At 42.1% G+C, this 19,846-nt stretch overlaps 1 protein-coding gene across 3 annotated transcripts in view; it reads right to left on the reverse strand.

The window, feature by feature from the left end:
• RASEF (RAS and EF-hand domain containing) overlaps positions 1-19,846 on the reverse strand; it is a 239,635-nt gene that overhangs the window by 70,965 nt on the left and 148,824 nt on the right. For 2 of the 3 annotated variants that reach the window (XM_005251730.5, NM_152573.4), the window contains exon 1: positions 11,883-12,588. The exons of the other annotated variant lie outside the window; for it this stretch is intronic. In XM_005251730.5, the coding sequence (XP_005251787.1) occupies positions 11,883-12,313 (431 nt within the window). In that variant the 5' untranslated portion in view covers positions 12,314-12,588. Of the gene's footprint in view, positions 1-11,882; positions 12,589-19,846 lie in introns of those variants that run through there. 3 annotated transcript variants of the gene reach the window in all.

Genomic DNA, 19,846 nt, shown 5'->3' on the forward strand with positions numbered 1-19,846 from the left:
CATTTGTCAATTTTGGCTTTTGTTGCCATTGCTTTTGGTGTTTTGGACATGAAGTCCTTGCCCACGCCTATGTCCTGAATGGTAATGCCTAGGTTTTCTTCTAGGGTTTTTATGGTTTTAGGTCTAACGTTTAAATCTTTAATCCATCTTGAATTGATTTTTGTATAAGGTGTAAGGAAGGGATCCAGTTTCAGCTTTCTACATATGGCTAGCCAGTTTTCCCAGCACCATTTGTTAAATAGGGAATCCTTTCCCCATTGCTTGTTTTTCTCAGGTTTGTCAAAGATCAGATAGTTGTAGATATGCGGCATTATTTCTGAGGGCTCTGTTCTGTTCCATTGATCTATATCTCTGTTTTGGTACCAGTACCATGCTGTTTTGGTTACTGTAGCCTCGTAGTATAGTTTGAAGTCAGGTAGTGTGATGCCTCCAGCTTTGTTCTTTTGGCTTAGGATTGACTTGGCGATGCGGGCTCTTTTTTGGTTCCATATGAACTTTAAAGTAGTTTTTTCCAATTCTGTGAAGAAAGTCATTGGTAGCTTGATGGGGATGGCATTGAATCTGTAAATTACCTTGGGCAGTATGGCCATTTTCACGATATTGATTCTTCCTACCCATGAGCATGGAATGTTCTTCCATTTGTTTGTGTCCTCTTTTATTTCCTTGAGCAGTGGTTTGTAGTTCTCCTTGAAGAGGTCCTTCACATCCCTTGTAAGTTGGATTCCTAGGTATTTTATTCTCTTTGAAGCAATTGTGAATGGGAGTTCACTCATGATTTGGCTCTCTGTTTGTCTGTTATTGGTGTATAAGAATGCTTGTGATTTTTGTACATTGATTTTGTATCCTGAGACTTTGCTGAAGTTGCTTATCAGCTTAAGGAGATTTTGGGCTGAGACAATGGGGTTTTCTAGATAAACAATCATGTCGTCTGCAAACAGGGACAATTTGACTTCCTCTTTTCCTAATTGAATACCCTTTATTTCCTTCTCCTGCCTGATTGCCCTGGCCAGAACTTCCAACACTATGTTGAATAGGAGTGGTGAGAGAGGGCATCCCTGTCTTGTGCCAGTTTTCAAAGGGAATGCTTCCAGTTTTTGCCCATTCAGTATGATATTGGCTGTGGGTTTGTCATAGATAGCTCTTATTATTTTGAAATACGTCCCATCAATACCTAATTTATTGAGAGTTTTTAGCATGAAGGGTTGTTGAATTTTGTCAAAGGCTTTTTCTGCATCTGTTGAGATAATCATGTGGTTTTTGTCTTTGGCTCTGTTTATATGCTGGATTACATTTATTGATTTGCGTATATTGAACCAGCCTTGCATCCCAGGGATGAAGCCCACTTGATCATGGTGGATAAGCTTTTTGATGTGCTGCTGGATTCGGTTTGCCAGTATTTTATTGAGGATTTTTGCATCAATGTTCATCAAGGATATTGGTCTAAAATTCTCTTTTTTGGTTGTGTCTCTGCCCGGCTTTGGTATCAGAATGATGCTGGCCTCATAAAATGAGTTAGGGAGGATTCCCTCTTTTTCTAATGATTGGAATAGTTTCAGAAGGAATGGTACCAGTTCCTCCTTGTACCTCTGGTAGAATTCGGCTGTGAATCCATCTGGTCCTGGACTCTTTTTGGTTGGTAAACTATTGATTATTGCCACAATTTCAGAGCCTGTTATTGGTCTATTCAGAGATTCAACTTCTTCGTGGTTTAGTCTTGGGAGGGTGTATGTGTCGAGGAATGTATCCATTTCTTCTAGATTTTCTAGTTTATTTGCGTAGAGGTGTTTGTAGTATTCTCTGATGGTAGTTTGTATTTCTGTGGGATCGGTGGTGATATCCCCTTTATCATTTTTTATTGTGTCTATTTGATTCTTCTCTCTTTTTTCTTTATTAGTCTTGCTAGCGGTCTATCAATTTTGTTGATCCTTTCAAAAAACCAGCTCCTGGATTCATTGATTTTTTGAAGGGTTTTTTGTGTCTCTATTTCCTTCAGTTCTGCTCTGATTTTAGTTATTTCTTGCCTTCTGCTAGCTTTTGAATGTGTTTGCTCTTGCTTTTCTAGTTCTTTTAATTGTGATGTTAGGGTGTCAATTTTGGATCTTTCCTGCTTTCTCTTGTAGGCATTTAGTGCTATAAATTTCCCTCTACACACTGCTTTGAATGTGTCCCAGAGATTCTGGTATGTGGTGTCTTTGTTCTCGTTGGTTTCAAAGAACATCTTTATTTCTGCCTTCATTTCGTTATGTACCCAGTAGTCATTCAGGAGCAGGTTGTTCAGTTTCCATGTAGTTGAGCGGCTTTGAGTGAGATTCTTAATCCTGAGTTCTAGTTTGATTGCACTGTGGTCAAAGAGATAGTTTGTTATAATTTCTGTTCTTTTACATTTGCTGAGGAGAGCTTTACTTCCAAGTATGTGGTCAATTTTGGAATAGGTGTGGTGTGGTGCTGAAAAAAATGTATATTCTGTTGATTTGGGGTGGAGAGTTCTGTAGATGTCTATTAGGTCTGCTTGGTGCAGAGCTGAGTTCAATTCCTGGGTATCCTTGTTGACTTTCTGTCTCGTTGATCTGTCTAATGTTGACAGTGGGGTGTTAAAGTCTCCCATTATTAATGTGTGGGAGTCTAAGTCTCTTTGTAGGTCACTCAGGACTTGCTTTATGAATCTGGGTGCCCCTGTATTGGGTGCATAAATATTTAGGATAGTTAGCTCCTCTTGTTGAATTGATCCCTTTACCATTATGTAATGGCCTTCTTTGTATCTTTTGATCTTTGTTGGTTTAAAGTCTGTTTTATCAGAGACTAGGATTGCAACCCCTGCCTTTTTTTGTTTTCCATTTGCTTGGTAGATCTTCCTCCATCCTTTTATTTTGAGCCTATGTGTGTCTCTGCACGTGAGATGGGTTTCCTGAATACAGCACACTGATGGGTCCTGACTCTTTATCCAATTTGCCAGTCTGTGTCTTTTAATTGCAGAATTTAGTCCATTTATATTTAAAGTTAATATTGTTATGTGTGAATTTGATCCTGTCATTATGATGTTAGCTGGTGATTTTGCTCATTAGTTGATGCAGTTTCTTCCTAGTCTCGATGGTCTTTACATTTTGGCATGATTTTGCAGCGGCTGGTACCGGTTGATCCTTTCCATGTTTAGCACTTCCTTCAGGAGCTCTTTTAGGGCAGGCCTGGTGGTGACAAAATCTCTCAGCATTTGCTCGTCTATAAAGTATTTTATTTCTCCTTCACTTATGAAGCTTAGTTTGGCTGGATATGAAATTCTGGGTTGAAAATTCTTTTCTTTAAGAATGTTGAATATTGGCCCCCACTCTCTTCTGGCTTGTAGGGTTTCTGCCGAGAGATCCGCTGTTAGTCTGATGGGCTTCCCTTTGAGGGTAACCCGACCTTTCTCTCTGGCTGCCCTTAACATTTTTTCCTTCATTTCAACTTTGGTGAATCTGACAATTATGTGTCTTGGAGTTGCTCTTCTCGAGGAGTATCTTTGTGGCGTTCTCTGTATTTCCTGAATCTGAACGTTGGCCTGCCTTGCTAGATTGGGGAAGTTCTCCTGGATAATATCCTGCAGAGTGTTTTCCAACTTGGTTCCATTCTCCACATCACTTTCAGGTACACCAATCAGACGTAGATTTGGTCTTTTCACATAGTCCCATATTTCTTGGAGGCTTTGCTCATTTCTTTTTATTCTTTTTTCTCTAAACTTCCCTTCTCGCTTCATTTCATTCATTTCATCTTCCATTGCTGATACCCTTTCTTCCAGTTGATCGCATCGGCTCCTGAGGCTTCTGCATTCTTCACGTAGTTCTCGAGCCTTGGTTTTCAGCTCCATCAGCTCCTTTAAGCACTTCTCTGTATTGGTTATTCTAGTTATACATTCTTCTAAATTTTTTTCAAAGTTTTCAACTTCTTTGCCTTTGGTTTGAATGTCCTCCCGTAGCTCAGAGTAATTTGATCGTCTGAAGCCTTCTTCTCTCAGCTCGTCAAAATCATTTTCCATCCAGCTTTGTTCTGTTGCTGGTGAGGAACTGCGTTCCTTTGGAGGAGGAGAGGTGCTCTGCTTTTTAGAGTTTCCAGTTTTTCTGTTCTGTTTTTTCCCCATCTTTGTGGTTTTATCTACTTTTGGTCTTTGATGATGGTGATGTACAGATGGGTTTTCGGTGTAGATGTCCTTTCTGGTTGTTAGTTTTCCTTCTAACAGACAGGACCCTCAGCTGCAGGTCTGTTGGAATACCCTGCCGTGTGAGGTGTCAGTGTGCCCCTGTTGGGGGGTGCCTCCCAGTTAGGCTGCTTGGGGGTCAGGGGTCAGGGACCCACTTGAGGAGGCAGTCTGCCCGTTCTCAGATCTCCATCTGCGTGCTGGGAGAACCACTGCTCTCTTCAAAGCTGTCAGACAGGGACACTTAAGTCTGCAGAGGTTACTGCTGTCTTTTTGTTTGTCTGTGCCCTGCCCCCAGAGGTGGAGCCTACAGAGGCAGGCAGGCCTCCTTGAGCTGTGGTGGGCTCCACCCAGTTCGAGCTTCCAGGCTGCTTTGTTTACCTAAGCAAGCCTGGGCAATGGCGGGCGCCCCTCCCCCAGCCTCGTTGCCGCCTTGCAGTTTGATCTCAGACTGCTGTGCTAGCAATCAGCGAGATTCCGTGGGCGTAGGACCCTCTGAGCCAGGTGTGGGATATAGTCTTGTGGTGCGCCGTTTCTTAAGCCGGTCTGAAAAGCGCAATATTCGGGTGGGAGTGACCCGATTTTCCAGGTGCGTCCGTCACCCCTTTCTTTGACTCGGAAAGGGAACTCCCTGACCCCTTGCGCTTCCCAGGTGAGGCAATGCCTCGCCCTGCTTCGGCTCGCGCACGGTGCGCGCACACACTGGCCTGCGCCCACTGTCTCGCACTCCGTAGTGAGATGAACCCGGTACCTCAGATGGAAATGCAGAAATCACCCGTCTTCTGCGTCGCTCACGCTGGGAGCTGTAGACCGGAGCTGTTCCTATTCGGCCATCTTGGCTCCTCCCTCCTCGATTGTCCAAAGTGTTTCTCTGCCTTCCTTTTTAGCCCATGACAATGCACACAGTGTTATGAGATGCCTCACGAACACAAATGCAGGTTTTGAAATTGTGTAGCCAAATCTGTAATACAAAAGTCATCCAAATCTGTAATGCAGGTGATTTGGAATGAGCTCACATCAATTTATTTTACATTATTGCCAAAATGAAAATAAGAATATTTGGTCTCCTAAAACTCCCAAAGATATATGTAAGGACCCCGAAGGGTCTATGGCTCCCAATTTGAGAAACATTCGATGTGAAACATCCATAGTCCAGAATGAGTGGTGTTTTGGTGAGCCAGGAGGAATTTTCCCATTCATTATTCCACATCCCAGGTCCTTCAGGTGTTAGAAACTCCTGAGTATTTAAGAAGGTGAGAAACAAGGTCAGGGTCAGGTGTATATATATAGTGCCTAGTGAGATGTCAAGGGCAATGTCAATATTGGGTGAACTAGAGAAAGAATCAAAGAAACATTTGCACTACTGGAGCTGTATATCCTGTTTTTATAAGACATATAGACTAAGGCCTTAAGGGTTAAAATTCACTCTTCTTATAATTACTCTGACAAAAGCAGTTATCGTTTGGAAGACCCTGAATATTTACAAGTTGAAGCAATGAACTTGTTTGTTTGACAAAATAATTCTAAAGAAATCCTATGTGTCATAGATAAATTCCACCATTAGAACTTCCCTCTGGGAGACAGACAAGTGTTTACTTTCCATTTTACAACCTCATATGAGACTAATACAGTCAGGTGAGGCAGCCCTGAACACTCAGAATAAATATTCTCTTCCCATTTCCCTCTTCTGACTACATACTGCACTCAAGTGCTACCTAAATTGTAATAAGTGATACATGAAGCAAGAAGGCATACTGTGTATACCCTCTTAGGAGAGAAAAAGGATTCAAAACACACTTGGAATCACCATGGCACACTAACCTTTCCCCATATGATACGGCTACTTTCATTGTACAAATGAAAAAAGATTGGATAACCTGGGCAGAAAATAAGAAACAGATGAAGATTTGTACACGCTTAAAGAGATAGGGGTAGTGTAACTGAATTTAACAGTAGTTTTGGAGAAGAATAAATCACAAGTTCAGGTTTGAGGAAAAGCTAGAGAAGAGTCTGTAGTTCTGGGAGTACAGTCTCCCTGGTAACACTAAGTTTTAAGACTTTTTCTTTTTAAGCCTTTTTCTTTTTGCACAAACCAGAAGGACAGAATAAATCATCTTTCTTCAAATTCTGAGAGCAAAGCTCTGAGCAATCAGTGAATTCTGAGGGTCACAGCAGGCCACTGCTCAGATGGCTAACACTGAGAGCCTTCTAAGGACTAGAAGTCCAAAATACCTTTCCAAAATCTGAAAGCCAAAAAGAAATTACTACCTTGAGATTAAATTCAAATATCAGAACCAGAAGTGGCCACCACCCAGCAAGTAGAGCTCATAAAACCTAAGGCATGCACAGATTCACAAAAGGCCCAGGAGGAAGGATCAAAGGTTCATTCCCCCTACAATCTGGAGCAAGGCAAGGATGCCCGCTCTCACCACTCCTTCTCAATATAGTACTGGAAGTCCTAGCCAGAGCAATCAGGCAAGAGAAAGAAATAAACCCATCCAAATTGGAAAACAGGAAGTCAAATTATCTCTGTTGGCTGACAATATAATCTTATATCTAGAAAACCCTAAAGACTCCTATAAAAGACTCCTAAGCTTTGATAAACGAATTCAGTTAATTCTCAGGATACAAAAATCAATGTAGAAAAATCAGTAGCATTTGTATACACCAATAATGAGCTGTAGTTATCAAGAGACAGGTTTCTCCCACTCAGCAGAGTAATGATACACATAATTGTGACAGAGGACACATTAAAGAGAAAAAGCAAAAAGCTACAGAATAGCAACAGTTAGAAAACAAGGAGATACAGATACAGACATAAACAGAGACACAGATGTTAGGATCCCGGTTCAGAATCCAGAAAAGGTAAAGAAACTTCCATAAAACCTATGCCAAGCACAATGATAGATCCCAAATCTGGTACTCAAGGTAAATACCCAATACAGTCAAAAGCACCCTTGAACCTCATCTAGGACTTGGGTGTAGCCCACCACCATGTTGCAAAGCTAGAACACATCTTCTCTTCTTGGATGAGAACCAGACATTACTGGCCATGAGCATGAAAAAATACATACATATATATATCCATATATACATATTCATATATACATATATTCATATATACATATATATATATATATATATATATATTCGTCTTTAAATACCACAAACACATCCCAAAGCACCAAGATGCTCACATGTGGAAGATACTCAAGAGCTGAGATCAAAGAGAAAAGAGCTGATTTACCTCTCTCATCTCAAGGTGACTCAGGGCCACCTTTCTACTAAGTGGAAAGAGGAGAAACTGAGGCAAGATGGAATCCATCAGTCTCTCTTCCTTTCCCCTCCATCTGAGCTCTGTGTTTCACTCCCTCTCAACATGTCCCCCTCTGCCACTCTATCTCTGGCCTTCTCTCTTGCTCTCCGGCTCACTCCTGATGTATTTATGTCTTTTTTTTTTTTTTTTTTTTTTTTTTTTGAGAAGGAGTCTCGCTCTGTCGCCCAGGCTGGAGTGCAGTGGCGCGATCTCGGCTCACTGCAAGCTCCGCCTCCCGGGTTCACACCATTCTCCTGCCTCAGCCTCCCGAGTAGCTGGGACTACAGGTGCCCGCTACCACGCCCGGCTAATTTTTTGTATTTTTAGTAGAGACGGGGTTTCACCGTGTTAGCCAGGATGGTCTCCATCTCCTGACCTCGTGATCCGCCCGCCTCGGCCTCCCAAAGTGCTGGGATTACAGGCGTGAGCCACCGCGCCCGGCCGTATTTATGTCTTTCTTTGCCTCTGTCTCTCCTCTCCCTTTTCTATCTTGTCAAGCACCGTTTCATGTAAATTAAGGGAGCTGTGAAGCAACTACACTATTACAAAACAAGGCAATCATTCTGAAAAGGGCTAAACTAGAACCCAAGAAAGGGAAATGGAGAAGCAACCCTCACCAATACTGAAACTTCGCCTCTGCCTACTGGCAGCTACTTGTTTTTAAAAATTTCCCAATTAAATGGGATTGCTGTCCAATGGGTGAGCCTTTCCTCTTGAGTTTAATAAGGTAAGCCGTTTTGCCAATCTCTATACAATTCACATATGGAAAGTTTTGGTTCCTCTCAATTAAATTTGTTTTTAAATTACCAAATAAAAGAATCCCCTTCGACATCGTGCATGTAGAAACATCGCAAACCATGTGAAACAGCTAACGGTGCTGATTTTGACGTCTCAACAAATCCTAGCCTAGCACTGCCTGGCAGGTCACCCATCACTATACCTGCCACACCCTCAGGTACCTGACCTGAGGCTGTCCCTCCTTTGGATACTTTTGGGATACCTGTGCCCACTCACAGACCCTCAGTGGTTCCAGTGCCAGCTGCACCCTCACATTCCTGTTTGTGAGAATGTGGGGTTTTCTAAGTTAATTTATCAGCATGAATCAATTCACAGATAACACTCAAAATTGCTGCAAATGGGAGTTGAGAAAAAACTGAAAAGTTTCAGCTCTGACTAGAGGTCAGAGAAGAGGCCTTCATCCCTGCTCTCAGCCATCCATCAAATGCTCAATACACACACACACACACACACACACACACACACACAGCCTATTTCCTTCTCTTGGCAATCTTTGAACACCAAGACTGGCTCACAACAGTAACTGAAAAAAAAAAAAAAAAGTGAGAGAACCTGCAAAAGAAGTGGAGAAAATGCTCACAGCATGAACTACACTCTCTCTCAAAATGCAGATATATGAAACAAGAATCAAAGAATACTGATTTATTCTATTCATTTGGCAAACATTTACTGAGTATCTCCTGAGTATGAAACTCCCTTTCACCAAGACAATGACCCAGGCATCAGAAACTGGCAAGGCTACATTATAAGTTGGCTCTCTGCCCTGCCCCTCCACCCTCAACACCCACACATTTTCTTCCTACTTCCAGGACTTTTCTTGGCCTGGTAGCACCTGTCCTCCCAAATTCTCTTATGTAACTAAATCACACTGTCCTGCTGCCTTCACCTGTTGGCTGACCTTATCAAACTGACCAGGAAGTGGTCAAGGCCCATCCTGACCTTGCAGACCCTTCATATCTGCCAGGCTCAGCTTACCCGGTCACACAACTCCTTGGACACTCCTTCCTCAGCCTTCAAAACAAAAAGTCCCTCAATTTTCTAAGAGAAAATGAACTCAACAATGACACATATCCCAAAAGCTACTTTCATCCCTTCATGATGCAATATTATCTTCCCTCTAACATCACGATTACTGATGACTGGCGAGTTTAACCCAAAATTGCTTAATATTTTGCTTGAAAGATTCTTTAAATGAAAATCAACAGTGTCATGCTTTGCCTTTATAGGAACCAAACATTTTCCTATTTAATATCCGTTCCTCTCAAACTGGATGTGAACACTCCCCAGGATAGCCCTGGGGCAGACTGTCCCCAGGGATAAGATTGAGTGCCAGGTGGGAAACAAAGCCACAAGTTGGAATGGCACACCTTCCTAGAAAGACAATTCTCCCTTCAGAAGAAACTCTATTTTATATGAAAACAAGTCCCAAAATATTGTGTACAAAGATGAACAACTTAATCACTTTTTAAAGAAAAGCTCAAGACTTCAAAGAAAATTCTTGCTTGCAGCCGTCTGTTGGGCTATGTCCACAATACAGGGAGTTTCCTACAAATGTTCTTTGCCTTTAAATGTTCTTCGATGAAGTTGCTGGAAAAATGTTTCATCCACACCATGAGCATCTTGAGGGCATGAACTACATACTATCCTTCTCTTTGTCCCCAGCAACCTAGGACAGTACCTAAGCCAGTATTTGGCATATGGCAGGCAATTGGTAATGCTTATGGAATACATTTGGCTGAAATAATGCCGACAGCATTATCAATAACAAAAAAGTGTTTAAATCACATTTGGATGGAAGGAAGAAAAGGTCAACAGCTGTATGAGGAAGTGAAGTAGAATTAATCCAATTTACCAAAACAGCGGATGGCTGCCATGGTAACAATCTGATGCAGCAACTCAGTTTAGATCTCTTCCACTTGAACATGAGAGGAAGACAAATATTGTACTTGTTAATCTCACATCAGGAGGTGAGGCTTAGGACACAAGTCTACCAGGTGACACCGGTGCCCATTAAATGTAGTAATCTCTGAAGAATTTGGAAAGGCAACATGATAATAATAATTCCACCAATAATATTAATTCCTGGTTTGTACACTGACCCAGGTCATTTCAATCATTTAAGGTTGTGTGTGAAATATTTGTTGCTGAGACTAGACAACTGTGAAAAACAGATCCACATGTATGCATACATCATATCCAATATGATGTGGACTCACCCTGCCTCATTCCTAAAATTCTTACTTTTTTTAACTAGCTGCACCCAAACTAAGTTACAGATGAAAGATGACTCAAATAAAGAGTATAGGTTGTAGCAGTGTTTAAATTTTGCTACTTCCCTGGTTGGGGAGTAACTCATTTGTAAATAACAGAAAAGATCGTTACACACCCACTTTCTCTACACAACCCTTCTATGGCAGTGAGTCACTCTCCATGCCCAATATTCCCCTTACTTTCCAAGCTGGAGGGAGAAGTTGGGAGGAGAAGGAAGTGAGGGCTTCCAATGAACAAGCACACTGACAACCTTCCAGGGATACTTCCTTTTCAATGTTCTGTCTCAGATGTGCAAACTGCCAACCAAAATGATGCCTTTCAGAGCGTCTTAATAACGACAGCCAGAGCTCAGCAAAATTTCAGCTAAAATCCAAACATAAAGCAGAAAAACACTTAACAGCACTGAAATGTGTGTATCGCTGGGGCATGAAGTGAAAAATAGCAGCTGGAGACACCCACCACACCAAGGCATGGACAAATGCAAACGAAACTCAAAAAGAAAATCTGAGCCTCTCTCCCTCCAGGCCCTGAAATCCCACCTGCAGGCATCCCCTTACCTCCTGATAATTAAGTCCGTGACTTGACACGTTATTTCTGTCAGAGCAGTAAGAGCAGAGAATATACTGTGTCATTTTATCATTTTATTCCGTCACATAAAAAGTGAGTTTTTCAGTTCACAAAATTTGGGTCAAATCTCTGCTGTTTAACTGGGCAAGTCCCTTAACGTCTGTCTAATTTCTAGGTCTAAGTTCAGAAATAAGCTAGCCTACCTTCTAGGGATGTTATGAAAATTAAATGCGTGAACTCTGTAAAATGCCTAGCAGGTACATCAATCAATATTTGTGTCCAGCAATGTAAAAGCCCAACAAAGTTTCCTTTTCTATAGTCTTAGGAAAACGACAAATCAGAAAACTATTACAGAGGACGCCAAATTGGCAAACAGCCCGGGCCCCAGCCCTGGGGTGAGAGCCTAAGGCCTGGGGTAGAAGGTGACGTAACCAGGACGCGGTGAGATGTGGCGCGCGCGCCTAAACTCGCGCGGGGCGCCAGCAGCTGCAGATTTCAGGAGAGCTCCTGTAATGAACACGCCGCCCTTTGCAGGCTCAGGATTCAGCACGTAAAACTTTCTCCCCAAACGCTGACTCTCTGACTCCTTTTTCTTAACTCTAGCGGATCTTGGAAAAGTCAAAGCGAGTAGGTGAAGGAAGACAAGCAACTCACAGAGAAGACTAGGGGGGGGGGCCATTGGGTCTGCACACCTGCAAGTAAGTGGGAAGAAGCAAGCAGGAAGCGCCAGAATAACCTCCCGCCCCCAGCTCACACTCGCACCTGGGAATGAACTTGGCTTCGTCCCCAAGTCGCGCCTGGAAATCCTGCCAAGCCCGGCCGGGACTCGCCGGGCCGCACGAGGTGGCCAGCGCCGCCGCCGCGTCCTCGTCGCCTTCGTCCTCCTCGCTGTCGTGTGTCTCCGGCCCCGCCTCAGACACGGCGGGCGCGGGATCCAGAGGACCCCAGTCCCGGCGCCGCCCCCCGCGGAGGGACCCGAGGAAGCCACGCGCGAACTCCTGGAAGGTGATGGCGCCGTCACGGTCGGCGTCCAGCCGCTGGAATACTGCCTCGGCGTCGGCCGGCCGCACCCGCAGCTCCGTGCACAGTGCCCGGAACTCCTCGCGCTCCAGGCGCCCCGAGCGGTTCGCGTCGCAGGCGGCGAAGACTGAGCGCAGCCGGGCCAGCTCCTCTCCGTCCCCATCCGCCTCCATCCCGCCTGGCGGGGGCGGCCGAGAGGGCTCCGGAGCGCCGCGGGGCGCAGGGCCCTCCCTGGAAGGACGGGGCCACCTGCTGCCGCCGGGAGGCCCGGCGAGTTTGGCTCGTCCGGCTGGTTCGGCCACTTGAGGGAACGTCGGGCGGGGCGAGGAACGTCGGGGGTGGCCGAGCGGCTCCCTTCGACGACGGTTCGGGCCAGCCCCCAACAGGTCCCGGGAGCGGTGGGGTGCGCCCGGGCTCCAGGCACCGCCAAGGAGCGCCTCCTGCGACTGAGCGCCCAAGCGCCGAGGTGGCTCTCGCCACTTTCCCGGCGGGTGCAGCTCCGCCCAGCCAGGGAGGAGGAGCGCGCGCCACCGCTTCTCCAGTTCCCACGCCCCGGAGTCCACCGCTGCTTGCCGCGCAGGTGGGGGAGACCTGGCTGGCCGGAACTGGGATTCGGGGGGAGCATTGCCCTTCGGCGTAAGCGCTGCTCAGGTAGAGCCCAGCGCTCCGCTTCTCCACAGAACGTGCTGGCGCGCGCGTCAGAAGCTAACCGCACAGAGGTAAGGTAGGTAGGGGTAGGATTCCGAATGGGTTAAGTGCATTTTATTATCTTACTCCCGAAACTTGATAAACTTCTTTATATAGAAGTTTCTTACAAACCAAAGTACAAGATTTACCAGAAGACCCCATTCTCAATTTTACTGGCTTTCGTTAACGCATTTTTGTGCGTCTAACGTTAAGGTCCCACTGCTTAAACACAGATCTTCCAGATCTCCAATTCCACATTTTTTCTCAATCCTTGTCTCCAAAACCTGAGAAAAAATTTGATAAACAAAATCGTTTGGCAGACAGCATTGTTTAAACAAAGACTGAGGTCGTTTTGTAGGTTTTTTTACTTAAACAAACTTTATGGAAATTACATATCCAAAGGTAGGTTACCCTTTGGTTTTAAACACTTTTTTCGACAATACTATTGTTTCTTTAACACTGCTTAATGGATATGAGATCTTTAAAATCCACCCATTTTGATCCTTTTAAACACTTTTTCCATCCTTTTCCAGGAGACCCTCAGTCTGTCATACGGCTTATGTAACCGTGCCTTTAGGCGATTCTCATAGCCTGTGAAGATATATTTGGCTCATTTTTACTTTATTTACATTATCCATTTCCTCCACATTTTAGACTTTCTGACTCTGTATTTTTCTTTTATCTCATTCTGGATTCTCTTTATCGTTTATTACTTTGATTTTTTAAAAATGTGATCATTAAGTAAGGGATATTACTGACACGTTCCTACTAGGCTAGTGTTCTTAAACATAAAGCTAAGTGCTAAACATCTGGGGAACTATTTCCTCTTGAATTGTACAATAAACATGGTCAACACTAACAGCTTCTATTAAACTGTAACTACTACTGATAACCCCCATCTGAAAATTTAACTGGTAAATTATGAGAGGCATTCCATTAGAAGTCCTGGTCTTAGCAACCTAATTGCTAAGTGAATATAGTTGTATACAGTTGGACAGCTAATACAATGAATCTTATCATTAGTGCAATGTAAGTTGTTATTGATTTTGAGCTTATGTGCTTTCCTGTTTATTCTAAAGATTGATTTTTCCATATGAATTTAAAAGTAGCTGGCTTGGTAATGCCTTTAAAGCTTTACAAATATACTTATTAAACTAAATCTTTGAACTATTATTATATTTATACTGTTAGCAACTAATGGATATCTATGTCTTTAAAAATAGATGCTTTCATGTTTTTAACTGCTTAGGAAGAAGTGCTTTTTTGAAGATTGCTTGCACAACTTTATTCCTGAATTTTTACTCTGACCTTTGTGCTCATTTTTTCTGAATTCTTATGTTCTGTGACCTGCTTTGCCCTTTCCCTAAGCCCCTTCATTGAAGAGTCATCAAGAAACACGAATTGGCCTGGCACAGTGGCTCATGCCTGTAATCCCAGCACTTTGGGAGGCTGAGGTGGGTGGATCACTTGAAGTCAGGAGTTCGAGACCAGCCTGACCAACATGGTGAAAGCCTGTCTCTACTAAAAATACAAAAAATTAGCTGGGCGTGGTGGCGGGCACCTTTAGTCCCAGCTACTTGGATAGCTGAGGCAGGAGAATCACTCGAACCTGAGAGGCAGAGGTTGCAGTGAGCCGAGATCGCGCCACTGCACTCCAGCCTGGGCAACAGAGCAAGACTATGTCTCAAAACAAAAAACACAAAACAAAAACAAAAAACACACAAATTATTCCAAATGTCTTGTGCATGCATTTTTCTTATTCTTATTTCTACCAATATTAATATACTTCAGACCTCCGATATCAGTTATTTATCACTGCATAACAACAGTAGTGATCTAAAAGTGCTACCATTTTATTTGTTCATAATTCCATTATCATCAATTTGGGCAGGGCTCAGCTAGGTGGTTTGTCTGCTGGCTTGCCTGGGATCTCTCAGGTGGTTTTCTTGTTGACTCAACTGGGGCTGGATGGTTATAGAGTCTCACTCATTTTTCTGGAAGCTGGTGCTGGCTGTTGGCTGGGCCATGTGTCTTCAGGAAGCTAGCATGAGTTTTGTCACATGGTGGCAATGTTCCAAGCGAGTAAGCCCCAGTGTACAAGTGCTCTTCAAGCTTTAGCTTATGTCATATTTGCTGATATTCCATTGACAAGTCACATTGGCAAGTCACATGGCCAAGCCCTAAGTCAGTGTGGGAAGGGACTACAAAAAAAACAGGGATACAGAGAAATGTACTTCATTGGAGGCTCTTACTGTTACAATATACCATACCTAAGGTAAAGAGACAGCCTCTAATATATTCTCCCAGGCTCTTGTCCTAACATCCTGTTTATTCTGCACAACCACAGCTGGACAGTCCTTCTCAAACACCAATTATTCTATCATTCTCTACTCTTTAATTCTCAATCAGTCAACAATTTTGTTTCGCAGGGGACATTTGGCAGTGTCTGATGACATTTTTGGCTGTCTTAATTTGATAAGGGGTAGATGCTCCTGGCCTCTAGTAGGTAGCTGCAGGGATGCTACGGAATATCCTGTAATGCACAGGCCAGAGCCTCCCCTCCTTCCCATTACAAAGAATTATCTGGCCAAAAATGTCAATTGTGCTGAGGTTGAGGAAGCCTGTACCCTAACTCATAAACCCCCAGTGGTGCTCCAATAAAAAGAGAACTAAAGGTAAACTCTTAATCCGAGCATCCACAGCCCTCTGTAATTTGCTCTGACTACATAGATCAAATATTTCACCCTTTAGTCTCTATCATGGCTTTTATTGTCCCCCAAATAAGCCACACTTCATCACATGATTACGTTAGTAGCTCCTTACTATCAGGACAAAATGTAAATATCAAGCAGATCTTTTAGCTTTTCTCTCTTCTGTCTAACCAAACCATTTCCCAGCTTAAGTAAAAGAATTGGATCCTGCTTTTTCTACAAACGTTTACACAATTGCATTGTGACCTGCCACTCATAAATACATCACTTAGTGTGTATGTCAGTTCAGGTATCAGGCAGCAGGAATGTTTTTGAATAACCCCAGCAATATACTCAGGGGAAAGCCACGGTCATATAATCTGTCTCTAATTATTTTCAACAAACAGCAAAGAGAAAAGAAAGAAATAGGAGGTGCTTCTTTTTATTTTAGCATCCAGAAACAGCTAGCCAGGAACTGGAGATAACAGAGCAGGCTTTGAGAGCCAATGAATTAGTAGGTAAGGAGAGCTTGCCCATGATTGTCAGCATGACTTTTCGAAAGATCAGCTTCCTCTCTGGCTGCTCAAAGATTTTAAAAATCAGAGATAATCTTGTTAGAGCATGTTTCTCAAAGCAGTGAAAAGACATCTTTGGAAAGAAATAATTTTGTGATCAGATACATTTGTAAAACACAAATAAATTTTAGAAAGAATCCTATTATATTCCTTTGAGATAAAGCTGTTTGATCGAATATTTCCTAAATGTATTTGACTATGGTAACTTTGAGTTTGGGGTTTTGGTTTGGTTTGGTTTCAATTTCCGTGAGCTTTCCACAGACTTAGTGCTCTCAAAACATACTTGAGGAGACCTCGTGTTAGACAGTGACTAGGGTGGTGAGTCATGAGAAGTGATCCTTTGCTCCTACATCATAAATTGGCCCAACTTCCCATAACGGGAATGAGCAATACCACTTTAACCTGCTTTTCATTGGTAAGTAGGGAAAGCTTTTAGTGGAAACCTATTGTAATCCACCCTGTAAGATTTCCTTCAGGTACGAGAGTGCTTCTCAGAGCATGACTTAACACTGCAGTTACTTTGCCCCAGAAAGATCCGAAATGCCATTGAAAATGGAACTAGATACCTTAGTAATGGCATACCACTGAGGCACCCACTAGTAGGTTCAGGAACACTCTGAAACATACATACCCCTGTAAGAGCTGAGTCTTAGTTTTCTCATGAATATATACTCAGAGCTTACTATTCCTAAGGAAGCTACAGGAAAAAGGTAGATTTTGCGAAAAGGAATGTGTCAGCGTATATCATAGTGATCCACTGACCCTTTATGTAAAGCATGAAAAAGAGAAAATAATAACACTTATATACTGCTATCCATAATTAGCAAATGTGAACATCCTATCCTATTTGCCTCAGATCTATTTTTTAAAATGAAGCATTAGAGACCCAGCTGAACTTCCCCTTTGACTGCATATTGTTTCTATAATTAATGTATAGCATTGTTGTGTATGTGTTGTGTTGGCAGTTATCAGACTTTGGAAAATCTTTCATTTAAAAAAATTAAGTATCTGTAATGTTTCAAACAATATCAAATACCATTACATGTCTTGAACCAGAGCAGAGTTGGCGTTCATTATTAGAACTGAGCAAGAAGTATTGTATTTCAAACTTCTGATTCCATTTTGTGATGACTAAGCAAAACTCATGTCATTTTCCCACATTAGCAAACTGTATGTCTCATCCATCTTGCTCCTCTCAGTTAAGACAAAAGTTTGTGTTTTTTATTTATTATTTATGTATTTATTTTTTGTGACAGGGTGTCACTTTCTCGTAGGCTGGAGTGCAGTGGTGTGATCATGGCTCACTGCAGCCTCAACCTCCCTGGACTTAGGTGATCCTCCCGTCTCAGTCGCTGGAGTCACTGGGACTACAGGCACGCACCACTACTCCCAGTTAATTTTTTTTGTATTTTTTGTAGAGTTTCTCTACGTTGCCCAGACTGGTCTCAAACACTTTGGCTGGAGATCCGCCTGACTCGGCCTTCTGAAGTGCTAAGATTACAGGCGTGAGCCGCCATACCTGGTCGCTGTTTCATATTATATATGCAAGAAGTAGAGAAATCAAATCTAATAAAAATAAATGGACCTCAGTTCACTTTTGGACAGCAGAAAAAGCAAACTGTGGAAAGCAGAATTCTACAATGGCACGCTGGTTCCCACCCCTTGGTGTACATGCTCTGCATGAAGTGAGCAGGACCTGTGAATATAATGGGATAATCACTCCTGTGATTACATTATGTTATATGATTCCATTCCCCTCCTGGCTTTGAAGAAGTGAGCTGCCATGTCATGAGAACACCAGGTGGCTAGGACCTGAAGATAGCCTCTAAGGAGCTGAGGATGTCACCCTGCTGACAGCCAGCAAGGAAATGGGTACCTCAGTCCTATAGCTGCAAGGAATTGAAACCTGCCAACAACCTGAATGAACTTGGCAGAGGACTCTGAGCTTGTGATGAGAACACATCCCCAGCTTGAAATCAAATCGACATATTGATTTTAGCACTGTGAGATACTGAGCTGAGAACACAGTTCAGCTGTTCCTGGACTTCAGAACCACAGAACTGAGATGATAAATGAGTGGTGTTTCAAGTTGCTAAGTTTGTGGTCATTTGCTTACAGTAATTGTAAACTAATACACAAGTGTAAGTTTGTTTTCTTAAAGAAGAAAAAAACGGGGAAGGAGGTAAGTGTTAAAGGATCAAAACTCTGACAAAAGGCTGGTTGCAGAACATGACAGGTTGTTGCACTGGAAACTATTTGTCATGCAAGTTTATGTTAAAATAAGTAGCTTTTGAGGACTTTCATTTTTGGTCTTGTAAACATGCCATTTAATATTGTCCAACTGATAATACTTTTTGCAAACAGAAACTGTTAAAACCTTTAAAGCAAATATTACTGTAGAGAAGAAGTAATGTGTTATGAAACTGTGAGGATACTAAGAAGGATCCTACTTAAGTTTCTTCAGCATAAATAAACTTGAGCGTTTCGACCACTGTTACTGAGAATGAAATTATTTCTTAATCACTTTTAATGAGGTAAAATTTACATACGATAAAATGCACCAATTTTAAAGTATAGTTTAATGAGCTTGCACAGATGTAAATATCTGTTTAACTTCTACTTAATCAAGATATAGAATATTTCCACAATGCCAAAATTGCCATTGACCCCCTTCCCCTTCTTTCACCCAACTGCAGACCCCAGGTCACCACCAACCTACTCTTGCTCAATATAGATTTAATGTGATGTGTCTTTTCTAGAGTTTTATGTCAATAGAATTGTACACTATGCACTCTTCCATGCCTGGCTTTCTTTGCTCAGCAGAAGGTGTTTAGATTAATTCAGTAGTTCATTTCTTTCTAGTAATGAATAGGATCACATTATACATTATACCACAGAGTGTGCATCCATTACTTTGTTGATTGATATTTGGGTCATTTCCAGGTTTTGGCTATTGTGAATAAAACTGCCTTGACTATTCCTGTACAAGTCTTTGTATTAAGGAACATACGTTTTATTTTCTCTTGAGGAAGTTCCTAGCAATAAGATTGCTGGGTCATATGGTAGGTATATATTTAGCTTTAAAAGCAACTAAGTGCTTTCCAAAGTGACTGTACAATTTAACATTCCTACCTGAAATGTAAGAGAATTCCAGTTGCTCCACATTCTTGTCAACCCTTGGTAGCATCAGTCTCTTTAAGAATTCTAATGGATATGTAATATGGACTATAGGTTTAATTTGCATTTCTCTGTTGACTAATGATGTTGCACAACTTTTCATATGTCTATCAACCATTCTTGCATCTTCTTTTATGAAATGTCTGTTCAAATCATTTGTCCACTTTTTATTGTGTCATTTTATTCAGTTGTAAGAGTTCTTTACATATTCTGGAAACAAGTCCTCTGTCACATATATAGGTACTTTGAAAATCTGTGCTTTGCCTTTACATTTTTTTAATGGTAACTTTTTAAGAGTAGATAGTTTTGGTTTTGATGAAATTCAACTTATCAGTTTTTCAGTTATAGTATGTATTTTTATGACCCATCTAAGAAGCATCTGTCTACCCAGAGTTGCAAAGATATCCCTTTTCTTACTAGAAATATTATAGTTTTATTTACCATTGCTTCTATGATACATTTTAAGTTAATTTTTGTGTATTAAATGAATAAAAAGTTGAAGTTCACTTTTCTCTGTATGGATATTCAGTTCTTCCAGTGTTATTTTTTTAAAAACACTATCCTCTCCCTGTTGAAT

This window comes from Homo sapiens, chromosome 9 (genome assembly GCF_000001405.40).
Source record: "Homo sapiens chromosome 9, GRCh38.p14 Primary Assembly".
NCBI classification, from domain to species: Eukaryota; Metazoa; Chordata; class Mammalia; order Primates; family Hominidae; genus Homo; species Homo sapiens.